This window comes from Homo sapiens, chromosome 4 (genome assembly GCF_000001405.40).
Source record: "Homo sapiens chromosome 4, GRCh38.p14 Primary Assembly".
Classification (NCBI taxonomy): domain Eukaryota; kingdom Metazoa; phylum Chordata; class Mammalia; order Primates; family Hominidae; genus Homo; species Homo sapiens.
Window position 1 is genome coordinate 123768660 of NC_000004.12, and position 15028 is coordinate 123783687.

The 15028-nt window shown below is 38.4% G+C and overlaps 1 long non-coding RNA gene across 2 annotated transcripts in view, besides 1 other annotated feature; it reads left to right on the forward strand.

Moving 5' to 3' along the window:
* Positions 1-15028, forward strand: part of LINC01091 (long intergenic non-protein coding RNA 1091) — a 280788-nt gene that overhangs the window by 118669 nt on the left and 147091 nt on the right. The window contains exon 1 of one of the 2 annotated variants that reach the window (NR_027106.2): positions 5605-5716. The exons of the other annotated variant lie outside the window; for it this stretch is intronic. This is a non-coding gene — a long non-coding RNA (long intergenic non-protein coding RNA 1091). Of the gene's footprint in view, positions 1-5604; positions 5717-15028 lie in introns of those variants that run through there. 2 annotated transcript variants of the gene reach the window in all.
* Positions 7595-7654: an enhancer, noted in NCBI's record as "active region_21882". NCBI's record gives its function as "activates an Ori minimal core promoter by ATAC-STARR-seq in GM12878 lymphoblastoid cells {active_cell/tissue: GM12878}" and the evidence as "EXISTENCE:reporter gene assay evidence [ECO:0000049][PMID:35858748]".

The window sequence follows — 15028 nt, forward strand, 5'->3', positions numbered from 1 at the left end:
AGTAAAGCATGTTTTGAATTCAAGATGAAAAGTAGAGAAGAAAACTTCACTATAGAATCATAGAATGTTACAGTTTTAAATAACTTTAAAGATAATCTTGGCAGGGTGAGGTGGCTCACACCTGTAATCCCAGCACTTTGGGAGGCTGAGGCAGGCAGATCTCTTGAGGTCAGGAGTTTGAGACCAGCCTGGCCAACATGGTGAAACCCTGTCTCTACTAAAAATACAAAAGTTAGCCAGGCGTGGTGGCAGGTGCCTATAATCCCAGCTACTAGGGAGGCTGAGGCAGGAGAATCACTTGAACCCTGAGGCGGAGGTTGCAGTGTGCCGAGATCATGCCACTGCACTCCAGCCTGGGTGACAGAGACAGACTGTGTCTCAAAAAAAAAATATTAATTCCTCATTCTAAAGATGAGAAAACTCAGGCACAGAGAAAAGAAATGACTTGCCCAAAGTCATATAATGGCAGATCATAGATGAAAAGCCAGGTCTTTTGACTTGTATCCAGATTTCCTCTTGATAATTTCACACTTGGTGCACATTCCACAGCCATCATCAGGCATTGTTTTTATGCCAGGTACTGTGTCATGCACTAGGGATATCCTGCTTTCTACAGGTACTTAGAGAAGTCATATTGACAATTACAACAGCAGGTAAATGGGTATAAAAATAAGCAGAATATTAAGGCAGTGCATATTCAACTCAGCCAAGAGAGTTTGGGAAATTTCTCAGAAGTATTGACATACAGGATGAGTCTTCATGTTAAACAGGTGAGAGATGAGAAAGAGAAAGAAGAGCATTTTAGAAAAAGGAAACAGCATGGCCATGGGCGGGCAAAACTCCACTCTCTCTCTCAGATTTACTGTCATTTTGCTTTCCAACATTAACCTCATTTCATTATTCTTCTTGGTTCCATGCATAGACACTCATAATCACCTCATAGATGCTTTGCTTTGAAGTGCTTTTGGGCATCACTGAGTGATACTGAACACTTTTTTTCCACTTGGATGTGTTTTATTACTTGCTTTCTGGCTCCAAGCACCTGCTGCCAATCCCAGCATTGGGCTCAAGTGATCTGCCCATCTCGGCCTCCCAAAGTGCTGGGATTACAGGCGTGAGCCACCACACCTGGCCTGAAGTTTTTTTTTTAATGAGTAAATGCAAGCTAAGAATTTGTCTTTGAGAGACACCAAACCTACAAAGCTGTTTGGAATCTTCTTCATGTATGTAGGTTCTTAGAATTGCTTCCCGAACTTGTAAGTAAAGACACAGGATGATTGATCGCTACCAGGGTAATTAATTTTTTTTTCCAAGATGAACTTGGGTATTGACTCAGGTTGTTTTTTTTTTTTTTTTTTTTTTTTTTTTTTAGACAGACTCTTGCTCTGTCACCCAGGCTGGAGTGCAGTGATGCGATCTCGGCTCACTGCAACCTCTGCCTGCTGGGTTCAATTCTCCTGCCTCAGCCACCCGAGTAGCTGGGATTACAGGGGTGCACCACCACACCTGGCTAATTTTTGTATTTTTAAGTAGAGACAGTGTTTCACCATGTTGGCCAGGCTGTTCTCGAACTCCTGACCTCAGGTGATCTGTCCGCCTCAGCCTCTCAAATTGTTGGGATTACAGGCGTGAGCCACTGTGCCCAGCCTTGACTGAGGTTCTTATTGCTTAGTGTAATATCTCTACTTCTTTGTTCTATCTATATGCTTTTAAATTTTTGAGTCTTTATTTAGAAAAGTTTAGTGCATGTTTTATAGAAATCATTTTCATTTGGAAGAGTAGTTTTAAGAATAAAATACCAGGCTTCTGTAGTTTCCTGATGTAATTTTTATTACGTTGTTAATGGTAAAAGAACAAGGACAACTGAAGTCTTTCTAATGATGATAATAAAACAGTTTTCCTTTACAGACAATTTTTTTTTTTTTTTTTTTTTGAGACGGAGTCTCCCTCTGTTGCCCAGACTGGAGTGCAGTGGTGCGATCTCGGCTCACTGCAAGCTCCGCCTCCCGGGTTCACGCCGTTCTCCCGCCTCAGCCTCCCGAGTAGCTGGGACTACAGGCGCCCGCCAACGCGCCCGGCTAATTTTTTGTATTTTTAGTAGAAACGGGGGTTTCACCATGTTAGCCAGGATGGTCTCGATCTCCTGACCTCGTGATCCGCCCGCCTCGGCCTCCCAAAGTGCTAGGATTACAGGCGTGAGCCACCGTGCCCAGCCACAGACAAATTTTAAAGGTGAACCATTTATCTTGGATAATTTTTAGTTCTATGGGCACCCGCATCGCTGAAAACAAAGCTAAAAAAAAAAAATCCCATAGGCACAAAGCCAACTTTGAAAGTGAGAACCTACTGAGCTTCAACCAAACCCACTGACAGTGCACCACAGGTGGACACCACATGGAAGGATGAAAAAATGTGATTGTGAAGGTCATGTTGACAGTTCCATGTCCATAATCTATTCTTCTTAAATTTGATCTGTGCATCTGGTATATATTTATGCATGTATTTGTGCTATAGGAGCTTAGAGTTCTTTAAGTAGGTCAGGGTTATCTGTGCTATGAAACCTCCTGCTGGGAAGAGATGGTGAGGTGGTGTGAGTGCGCTGGCAAATGCTAGTGGCCTTGGATTACACAGGGCCCTATTAGAGGAGGTTTTGAGGTTGTTTGGGGATCTCTGCATCTGAGAAGAGGATTAGTAGGAACTATACTTCAAAGAGGACCAGGAATGTACCATTTCCTATAACCTGTAAGAGCCAAGGAAAATTCTGCTGCTGCAGATTCAGTTCAGGACAAGAGTTGAAAATCACAGTTAGTACCAAGCCAATGATCCTCTGCTACTATTGCTTATAATATGCTGAGAATAAATAATTTGATAATGGAAGATTAGGAGACACATAAAATGGATACCTACATGGCTTATAGTGTAGATGAAGGTCTGTTTAAGGGCACATGATCACCTTTTTGAGCACATTTCAGGTTGGTGTCTTAGTCTGTTTAAATTACTTTTCAACAAATGTAACATCTTATTGACTTCTCAAAGCATGATTAACATAGATATCTATCCAAGTTATCATCTTTATGAATGGTGAAATAGCCCCTTAGGGAGAGCTACTATGTTTCTTATATTTTCTAGTAGAAAGTATGGTTTAGAGTCTTATGTCAGGAGGTATGGCTTGGTCTTAGCAAGTGTGACCCACAGCAAGAGTTCATAGTGGTTCTTCCACTCAGATTGGACCACTGTCTGAATGTCAAGAAGTAGCTGATTGGATTGTTTCAACAGCTTCAACAGTCCTTTCTTTATGTTGAGTCCTTTCACCATCCTGCTGACATCATCTGGTTACATTGATGGGAGTCTGCTTTGTGTTAAAATATATCACATGTAGTTTTTCTTAATTTCTTTCTTTCTTCTTCCTTCCTTCTTTCCTTCCTTCCTTCTTTTCTTCCTTCATTCCTTTCTTCATTCCTTTGTTCCTTCCTTCTTTCCCTCTGATAAACTTTCTAAAGTTGTAATTTTGTGGTTTTTCTTAACGCCATTTGTTACTCACCTAGATCTGCCATTTGGTAAACGTTCAATATTGGGCCACTTACTAACCATTTTGTGCCTCAGTTTTGTCATCTAAAACATGGGAAAAATAAATGCCTTGTAATGTTGTTCTGAGTATTAAATGAGCTAATACAGGTAAAACTTTTAGAACAGTACCTAACATACAGCAAGTGCTGAATAGGTGTTAGCTCTCATTTCTCGTCATATTGAACAGAGATGAGCAATTGAAAATCTGTGCTGGAATTTTGTGTCAACAAATTTATTATTCTTCTTCTACCATTTCACCAGTGTTTTGGTTTTACTACCTTTGAACACACAGGCTCAAGAGCAGATATAATCTCAAGCCATTAAAAGCATTTATTAGACATCCGTTATCCATATTATATAACCAAGGGGTTCTAAACTGTGGCCTGGTTTAGAAGTGGGGTGGTGAGTATGACCTCCCAGTAGGTGTGTTTCCCTGGCTGTACACACGCATGGGGGCACTCAGGGCTATTTCCAGATAAAATTTACATCTATGTGCCTAATGGTCCCAGGTGGACATATAGAGATGAATGTGTTGAATGAGTCTCCTGGTTTCTGGAGCTTGAAAGCTCCCTGTTAGAAGGGACTGATGATTCTTTCCATCCCACCTTATGGAATGTGAGCCTTACCCAGACCTAAATGAATGTCAGTGCTCTGTGAGCACCACCATTATCAAGCTGTGGAGTGACGTTGGCAGTGGAGGGCATGCACCTGACATAGAGAAATTTACACCCTTGGCGTAATCCTGGAGGTAACGGCGCTTCCAGAGTCACATAGTCCCTAAAGTGACACTAGAGGGCGCAGTATGGACATAGCTGTGAATTGCGCTCTGGACTTGTGAGTGACTTAGCCAATCCAAGGCTGGGCTCGATAGCTCTTTGAGGAGGTGAGGGAACTGAAGAAAAGCAAGAGGGACTGGGGAATCTAGAAAGGAGCATTCTTTGAGAGAAATAATAGTGATGATAGCTACCATTTATTGAGCACTTATTAAAGGTATGATTTAAATACATTGTCTCATTTGATCTTCACAATTATTCAGTGCAGGGCTATACTGTCTTCATAAAACAGAGGAGAACGCCTGGGGCGATGGCTCACACCTGTAATCCCAGCACTTTGGGAGGCCGAAGGGGGCGGATCATGAGGTCAGGAGTTCAAGACCAGCCTGGCCAACATAGTGAAACCCAGTCTTTACTAAAAATACAATAAAAATTAGCCGGGTGTGGTGGCAGGCGCCGATAGTCTCAGCTGTTTGGGAGGCTGATGCAGGACAATTGCTTGAACCCGGGAGGTGGAGGTTGCAGTGAGCCGAGATCGCACCACTGCACTCCAGCCTGGGTGATAGAGTGAGACTCCTTCTCAAAACAACAACAACTAAACAAAAACAAAAAACTGAGGAGGAAATGGAGGCTTAGAGGAACTCACCCAAGGTCACACAGCCTTTAAGTGGAGGAACTGGTGTTTAATCCAGAGCTATCTGAATTCAAAGACTATCTGTATTCTTAAATCTTAACCCTAATATTCTCAGTGAGGAAGGACTGAGGTTATATCTGAAAAAGAGCAACAAATAACAGCTTCAGGGCTGCTGAGGTGGGTTTCAAAAGTCACACAACTCTGAAGTATATTTCAGACCTCCTGTTCTTGGTGATTTGAGCAAAAGGTTTATTGCAAATTATTATCCGGAAACTATGTTTGTAGACTGAGAAATGGGTTTCTGTGAAACAGCATTCATCCAGAAAAGAAGTTTTTTTTCTGCAAGAAAGCAGTTAAAACAAAAACCTGGGGGAATTTGACTCTGATTTTTTTATCACTGAGTTTTCATAGATTCTGGTAGCATTGGATGTGCATATGTTGGTGAATACAGTTCCAGACTTGCGATAATAGAAGTTGTATCATACATGTTCACCCAAGAGCCATTGCTTGACAGAGGCATCTCCAGGTCTGAGATCTCAGGGGAGAGGCCTTCACCCATGGCTGTGAGAGTTGCCATGGTTGAGAACACCAGAATTCTCTCATTGTGTTGCTTGCCTGCCATGAAGCCTCTGGAAGGATATGGTGGCTGAAATAAGGCATGAGGCACAGATACAGATTTCCTGACTCAACTTCTGGTGCAGATAACATTGTTATACTACACATATTTATAATGCCCTTTTGGGTAAGTTTTCATAGAGATCATTTTCATTTTTTACCGATGCCATTAAGCTCAGTTAAGACTATTGGCAACCTTTCTCATCCTCCTCTCCCTCAATATTCAGTAACAATGGTAAGCTACAACAACCTAAAATATTAAGTAAGACTCTACAAATGACATAAACAGAATCTTCACAAAGCAAAAATAAAATTTGTTTTCTTAACAGATGGGCAGTGATTAAAAAGATGAATAACATTCAATGCCAGTAAAGGTATGGGGAAATGGGCACTAGAATTGTAAAATCAACACCTTTTGGAAGAGTGCTTTTGTATTATCTATTAAAATTAAAATACTAATTTCCTGTATCTCAGTTATTCCACTTCCAGAAATTAACCTTTTATGTCTTCCTTTACTTGTTCCTGATTTTAACGGAATACTTTTATGTTTCACCATTAAATAACTTTTGTTGAAGTTTCCTTTTCTTCTTCTTCTTTTTTTTTAGGTACTCATCATCTCTTTAAGGAAATATCTTTCCTTTATTAGTTTTTATTATGAATCAGATTTGAAATTTATTGATGCTTTTCCTCTTTCTATTGAGATGGTCACTTCTTTTTCCTCCTTAAATTTGTTAAAGTAATTCATTTTATTGATAGAATTTCTAGTGAAAATCATTCTAGCAGTTCTGGGGTACACAAGATTTGGTATGGCATATTATTTTTATTAATTTCTGGATTTAGCTTGTTTAATATTTGATTCAGCATTTTGCATCAGTGTTCATGTCTGAGATTAGCTTTCAATGTTCCTTACTTACACTGTCTTTTAGTTTTGGTATCAAAATGAGATGAAAATTTTTGTCCTTTTATATTTTCTCAAAGAGTGTGTATAAAATTTGAATAATCTGTTTCTTGAATGTTTTGGTAGAATTTACCTGTAAAATTATCTGATCTCAGTGATGTTATTTTTCCCTCATGATAATTTTTTACTTATTGTTTTGCTCAATTTCTTTAATGTTATAGAACTATTTAAATTTTCTTTTTACATAAGGCAATTTTTGTATAGTTTTTAAAAATAAAATTGTCCATTTTTTCCAAATGATAGGCTTTTCTTGGTATTCCCTCTTTAATTTCTATTGTATGTGTAGTAATGTCATCCACTTCTCATTCTTAATGTTGTATATTTGTGGTCCTCTCTCTTTATCTCTCTTTTATCTTTTTCAGTATTACCAAATACATTTCAGGGATGCCCCTAATATTTGTGGGGCAAAAGTATGAATGGAAGTTCATGTAGTGTATTATTTCTAAATACTTAAAAATTATAAGCCAAACTCATAAAAGCTTAAGTAAAATCTATTGTTTCCTTCTACTTTGACAAATATACCTTTATAATGACTGGGAAAGCATATTTGAATTTTAAATCCTTGGAATCCTTGAAGTTCCATTCAGGAAAGTGGAAGCACAGGGACATCTGGCCCCTGGCCCATAGCCTATTCTTGTTCTCCTTCTTCTCTTCCAATCCCAACTCTGTTCCACACCATGATAGGCATCACACCATGTCGGTGAACTTACTAACCTGTGCTTCAAACTCCATTCTCACTCTGCAAATATATCCTTCTTGACTATTTCTCAGGAGGGCCAAGCCTTGGGTCCATTGGTTGGGAATCCCAGGGAACTGAGTTGTGGCCTACTTTAGAAGGGGGCTGGTGAGTGTGAGCTTGTAGTTTATTTAATCTCTGTTCTGTCACTAATCTGTAAACTCTGTAAGGGTAGGGACTTTGTTGCTTTCTTTACTATTCTATCCCAAGTACGTTGTACAGTGCAGGGATTGGGGAGATGCAAAGATAGAGCTGTTTAGTAAATGAATGAATGAATGAATAAGCAAGAATGACTCTTAGGTTTCTAGCTGGAGACTCTGGTAAATGCTGTGCCATTCACTACACACAAAATATAGGATGATTGTAGCCTTATGAGGGATGGAGATTTGAATATCTTAAGTTTGAAGAGTGTGTGCTTATGCGGGTGCAATTTCTGGCAGGCATTGCACAAAGGGAACTGAAACTTATGAGAAAGATCTAAACTGAAGACATTGCTCTAACACATACTGGTATGTAGGTGTAGCTAAAGCTTTGAGAGTAAGGAACAGCAGATGTGATGAGAGAGAGAGAGAGAGAGAGAGAGAGAGAGAGACAGAGAGTGCCTGGACAGGAACCTTGGGGATAATCAACATTTAAAAGACAGACAAAGAGGAGCCTTGAAGAAAACTTTGAAGGTGCTTCCTGAGAGGTAGAGGAAAAGTGATACTACCAAGACAGAAGACAGCAAGGGAGTCAAAAACTGCCAAAAAGTCTATTGAGATGTGAACAAAAAGTGTTCATTAGATTTGTCAACTCACATCTTGGCAAAACCAATTTTAATTATTTGAGCAAAAGCCAGATTTTCCTGAGTTGAGGAGAAAGGTAGGGAGAGGAAATGGTGAGTGTAGATGGCATTTTTCTGGACACTCCTCTGTGAAATTACAGGGACTGTGAATGTGGTACTATGAGGATATATATGTTGAAGGCAGAGTACTTGTTGAAGATTTTACAGCTAAATTACGCATCAACTACCCCTGCTAAAGGGAGATTATGAAGTGATGTTGAGTACTACTTCCAGCGTAAGACTTCGTGGTTTACAAAGAAGAGTTTGGGAATGATTCTGAGGAGAATCACACAGATGGTGATATGATCATAAAATAAGACCTTGGAGATATTAAGTAGGATGACTACCTTCAGCTATGAGGGATACAGCTTCTCAGAAGACAGTGACTATAATATGCTTGATCTCCCGAAAGGGGACAACATGGAAAAGGACCTCAGTTGTACCAGGAGGAATTTAATTTAGAAAGCAGGATTTCCTGACATTGTGATTGAATGTTTAAACAGGTTACAAAAATTGTTATGAAATCTCAGAGGTCTCAAAAATATAACATTAACAGTTTTGAAATAAGACCTTGAAGAACAAATGTTGATGATTTCGATTAATCCTTTTTGAGCCAGAATAGCTGGTCAATGGCTCTGGTAGCTAAGGGACTGGCAATGCAACTCCGTACAGCTGCACAGTCAGTCTCTTGCCAACTACATTGAGCTAATTTGACACAAAGTGGTTGTTTGTAAGCCCTAGAGAGCCTTTCCACATCTCAAACCCTGGAGCTGCTCAAAATACTTCCTGTGGGCTTCAAGTTTAGACCTAAATAAACTTGAAAAATCCATCTGGTGTGGGCTGATTCTAGAATTCTGGAATGTAAGATAATTTGGACAAAGACAGAAGCCAAGTGGAACTCTCAGAGCACTGTATGTCCTTGTAAAGGTTGGAGGCCTAAAATCCTATTTATTTTTCTCTTAAATTGAACTGAAGGGATGAATAGCTCATTGTGGATGGTTTATATACTGTTAGCCATCTTGCAGCATTGAGAACCTCTGCTTACTCTTACCTCCAATTGTATTTTTTTGGTGGAAAAAGAATATAAATCAACCATGCTATTTTCATTCAAACACCCATTTATTCTCTTAAAAATGTATCCTTGTGTTAGAAACATTTTGTTACTTTTTTAAATGAACGAGTTTATGAAATGTCTTTACAAGGTCATTTGTATCATATTTAAAGCTTTCATTGGTATTATAATTCTTGCATCTATAAAGATCTGGGTGAAAATGTAGATATTATTAAACTTAAATACCTGTAAAAACAGAAACAGAGAGAGGGAATTTTAGTTAATATAGGCTTTGGTTTCATGATGGTCCCTAAGTTTAAAATTGTGGTAAGTTTAGAAGGGTGTTGATTTTTCCTTTACCTAATATAAACTGTTATTTAATCAGTAATAAACAGGATAAGTAGCTATTTCCATGGCTAATTTTGTTTATATGTTTATCTTTGTATATGTTTTCTATTACATCTCCCATTTTAGATTGACTACGTGTTTAAATTCGTTACCTTAGGACTTGTTAGTGACAATACACCAGTCATAGGGTAGAGATATTGGTTGCTGCTGAATTTAATAATGAGTTATTATTCTAGGTTCATTAATTCATGGCATATTCACTCAACTCATTCATTCTATCACTTATTTATTTACATGGCCACTCTGTGCCACAAATCATGTTAAGGACTGTGGATAAGTAAAAAATGTCCCCTGTTGATATAGTTTGGATATTTGCCCCCACCCAAATCTCATGTTGAATTGTAATCCCCAATGCTGGAGTTGGGGCCTGGTGGGAGGTGTTTGGATCATGGGGGCAGATCCCTCATGGCTTGCTGCTGTCTTTGGAATAGGGAGTTCTTATAAGATCTGCTCATTTAAAAGTGTGTGGCACCCCCACCCCAATCTCTCTCTTGCTTGTTCCTGTTCTCGCTATGTGCCTGCTTCCCCTTTGTCTTCCGCCATAATTGTAAGCTTCCTGCGACCTCCCTAGAAGCTGAGCAGATGCTAGCACCATGCTTCCTCTAAAGCCTGCAGAACCGTGAGCCAACTAAACCTCTTTTCTTTATAAATTACTCAGTCTCAGGAATTTTTTGTAGCAATGCAAGAACAGCCTAATATACCTGCATCCCAGAAGCTTGCAATTGGTGAAAGGGGAATAGGTGTATGAAAAAAATGAGGGCAATTATATGAGTTAGAACTCCTTGAATTGCATGTGACTGAGACCCAACTTCAACTAGTTTAAGAAAAATAGGGAATTTATTGGCTCATAGAATCCAGTGAAGTTCTGAACAAAGCAAGCATTAAAAGAGAGGGATGCAGCCAAGCTTTATGGACACCCAGCAACAGTAATTTCCCTTAGGCCTAACTTTCTTTCTTTTACCTCTGTATTTCTCCGAGAATGAGACCTTTTTTTGTCCCTCACTACAGATAGGATTTATTGTCTGTGGTGGTGAACTCACTACTGCAAAGCATTGACTACCAAGCCTATGCTTTCCACAAGGGAGAGGAACCAACTCATGTTAGAAGCTTTGGTTTAAAAAATTCTTTTCTTTAAAATTATTTTTTAAGGGCTAGGATACAGGTGAAGGTTTGTTGCATAGGTATACATGTGCTGTGGTGGTTTGCTGCACCCATCAATCCGTCATCTAGGTTTTAAGCCCTGCATACAGTAGGTATTTGTCCTAATGCTCTCCCTCTTCTTGCCCCCCACCCCGCGACAGGCCCCGATGGGTGATGTTCCCCTCCCTGTGCCCATGTGTTCTCGTTGTTCAACTCCCACTTAGGAGTGAGAACATGTGGTGTTTGGTTTTCTGTTCCTGTGTCAGTTTGCTGAGAATGATGGTTTCCAGCTTCATCCATGTCCTTGCAAAGAACATGAACTCATTCTTTTTTATGGCTGCATAGTATTTCGTGGTGTATATATGCCACATTATCTTTATCCAGTCTATTATTGATGTGCATTTGGGTTGCTTCCGAGTCTTTGCTATTGTGAATAGTGCTGCAGTAAACATACGTGTGCATGTGTCTTTATAGTAAAATGGTATATAATCCTTTGGGTATATACCCAGGATTGCTGGGTCAAATGGTATTTCTAGTTCTAGATCCTTGAGGAATCGCCACACTGTCTTCCACAATGATTGAACTAATTTACACTCCCACCAACAGTGTAAAAGCGTTCCTATTTCTTCACAGCATCACTAGCATCTGTTGTTTCCTGACTTTTTAATGATCGCCATTCTAACTGGTGTGAGATGGTATCCCAATTTGGTTTTGATTTGCATTTCCCTAATGACCAGTGATGATGAGCTTTTTCTCATATGTTGTTGGCCACATAAATGTCTTCTTTTGAGAAGTGTCTGTTCATATCCTTCACTCACTTTTTGATGGGCTTATTTTTTTTTCTTGTAAATTTGTTTGAGTTCCTTGTAGATTCTGGATATTAGCCCTTTGTCAGATGAGTAGATTGCAAAAATTTTCTCCCATTCTGTAGGTTGCCTGTTCACTCCGATGATAGTTTTATTTGCTGTGCAGAAGCTCTTTAGTTTAATTAGATCTCATTTGTTAATTTTGGCTTTTGTTGCAATTGCTTTTGTTTTTTTAGTCTTGAAGTCTTTGCCCATGCTTATGTCCTGAATGGTATTGCCTAGGTTTTCTTTTAGGGTTTTTATGGTTTTAGGTTTTACACTTAAGTATTTAATTCAACTTGAGTTAATTTTTGTATAAGGTATAAAAAAGGGGCCCAGTTTCAGTTTTCTGCATATGGCTAGCAAGTTTTCCCAGCACCATTTATTAAATAGGGAATCCTTTCCCCATTGCTTGTTTTTGTCAGGTTTGTCGAAGATCAGATGGTTGTAGATGTGTGGTATTATTTCTGAGGCCTCGGTTCTGTTCCATTGGTCTATATATCTGTTTTGGTACCAGTATCATGCTGGTTTGGTTTTTGCATTGCCAGTCCCTTAGCTACCAGAGCCATTGATCAACTATTCTCTCAAAAAGGATTAATCAAAATAATCAGCATTTGCTATTCAAGGTCTTATTTCAAAACTGTTAATGTTATATTTTTGAGACCTCTAAGAAGAGATTTCATAACAATTTTTGTAACCTGTTTGAACCTTCAATCACAATGTCAGGAAATCTTGCTTTCTAAATTAAATTCCTCCTGGTACAACTGAAGTCCTTTTCCATGTTGTCTCCTTTGGGGAGATCAAGCATATTATAGTCACTCTCTTCTGAGAGAGTATAGCCTTGTATAGTTTGAAGTCAGGTAGTGTGATGCCTCCAGCTTTATTCTTTTTGCTTAGGATTGTCTTGGCTATATGGGCTCTTTTTGCCTCCATATGAAATTTAAAGTAGTTTTTTCTAGTTCTGTGAAGAAAGTCAATAGTAGCTTGATGGGAATAGCATTGAATCTATAAATTACTTTGGGCAGTATGGGCATTTTTACAATATTGATTCTTCCTATCCATGAGCATGGAATGTTTTCCATTTGTTTGTGTCCTCTTTTATTTCCTTGAGCAGTGGTTTGTAGTTCTCCTTGAAGAGGTCCTTCACTTCCCTTGTAAGTTGTATTCCTACGCATTTTATTCTCTTTGTAGCAATTGTGAATGGGAGTTCACTTATGATTTGGCTCTCTGTTTGTCTATTACTGGTGTATAGGAGTGCTTATGATTTTCGCACATTGATTTTGTATCCTGAGACTTTGCTGAAGTTGCTTATCAGCTTAAGAAGATTTTGGGCTGAGACAATGGGGTTTTCTAAATATACAATCATGTCGTCTGCAAACAGAGACAATTTGACTTCCTCTCTTCCTATTTGAATACCCTTTATTTCTTTCTCTTGCCTGATTGCCCTGGCCAGAAGTCCCAATACTATGTTGAAGTCTGGCATTTTGAAAGCAGGCTTATGCATGTGTATGTAAAAGAAATGTGTATGAAATTCTAAGTTATAAATTACATTTGCCAATGTACTTTGTAATGTTGGCCTGTACCATTAAAGATGTTAGAATTTTGCCTTGACACTAGAGTCTGATCTTTAGGAGGAGGAAGGACTTAAGGAATGTACCAGAAGGTTGGGAGAGGCAAGAGCTAGATCAAGAGGGGGATTTGAAAAGTAGGGGTGAAGATAAAGATCCAGTTTTAACTTGGAAGTGGAAACTACTTCCAGGAAGAATGATTCTAGGAAAGAAAAACTTGTTCTATATGGGGGTAGAAATTTTGAGTGGTGACAATAAGGCTTGGAGTCCTTCCAAACATATGAATTAGTTTCAGAATTATATTATTTGAATCAATTGAACTTGAGAATTGGAATTGGTAGACATATTAAATCATTGCATTTTTATTAAGCTTTTTGACTTGAGGTTTCCAAATATTAGCAACTGCTTAATTAATTGGGCAGTAATCATGATGACGGGAGCTGTCTTTTATGTCTTTCAATGTGTCTGGCTCAGTGTTGAACATATAGAAACATGACTTACTGATTTCTAATAATTTGACAAGTACATTATATAGTATTTAGTAGATATGTACTTAGGTAAAATACATTTAAATTGACTAATTTCTCCACTGGAAAACTAAATTTATGTAATCAGGATTTTCTCTAAATAGTGGGCTGATTCCTTACCTTTATGGTCAGTGCAGTGGACCAAGACCAATAACATGGTGTATGATAAGATATTTGCTTTTGGGTGGGGAAGATTTGCTTAAAGCGGAGAAGGTTTCAGGATGACAAAACAAATTTTCCCGCAAGTTTGGTATCAAGCTTTTGTTTTGTTATACTTGATTATCTACTTTGGCTGAATAATCCAAACATACATTCCAATCCAATTTAGTCCCTGCTTAGAGTGGCTCTTCTTATTTGTCCAAGAGTTTCAGAACTATTTTTTTTCTACTTCTTCTGAGCATTCAGCCTTTATGTATTTCAAGGACAACAGACTCCAGAGATTTGGGTTTTATTCATGACTTCTTCAAGAAGTGGGCCATGCTATTTCAGTCATTTTTAATTGGGGGGCAAGTTGGATGCTGAATATTTCAAAGGAGAAAATAAAATAACCTAGTAGATATGTTTCCTGGCATAGATGATAGAAAAGTCACTTAGACTCCTGTATGCCATAGTTTAATCAAAATGTATCCAGTTCACTGTCTGTCCTTCCATTAATATCACAACTTAATGTACAAGTCTTTAGCATATCCTATACTTTGCCTAAAAGAAAAATGTATTTAACATCTCAGTGAATATACTTATTTAATGCAGCTCATAGATTCATATGTTTGACAAAGATAGTGAGAAATTTTAGGTAAAAATGATTTTCACAAAAGAGAATTGCATTATATGTTAAATTTATAAAACTATTTCCAAGAATCATGGAATCATAAAAGTGAGACAACAAACTCAATTCTTTTGCGTAAATTCTTTTGGCATTTGTTTAATGATTTTCTCAATCCTCCTGTTAGTTATATGAATCACAGGATTCCCAATGATTTGATAAATGTGAGTATGAAGTTTAACATACTTAGACTGGAAAAAGCTATCCAACAAGTGAGTCACAAGTGAGAAATACCCAACACAAATGTGTTATTTCACCTAAATTCTGATTAATAAAAAAATAAATGTGTGTTTAATGTTTTTTTTTCTCAATTATTTTAAGAATCCATAACACACCAATCGAACTTTAAAGTTGAACAGAAAGTTCCTGGAAATGACCTGGTCTAAGCTCTTAGCTGTCAGATGAGAAACACAGGCCTGGAGAGTTGGCCTGATGCATGCTTATTTATCTATGCAAGGACCTCAGCCAATGAGGTCCCAGATGGGCCCTGTGACCACCTACCATGAGAACTTGTAACCATTACCATAACCATCACCATTTGTACACTTGCATACTAGCCA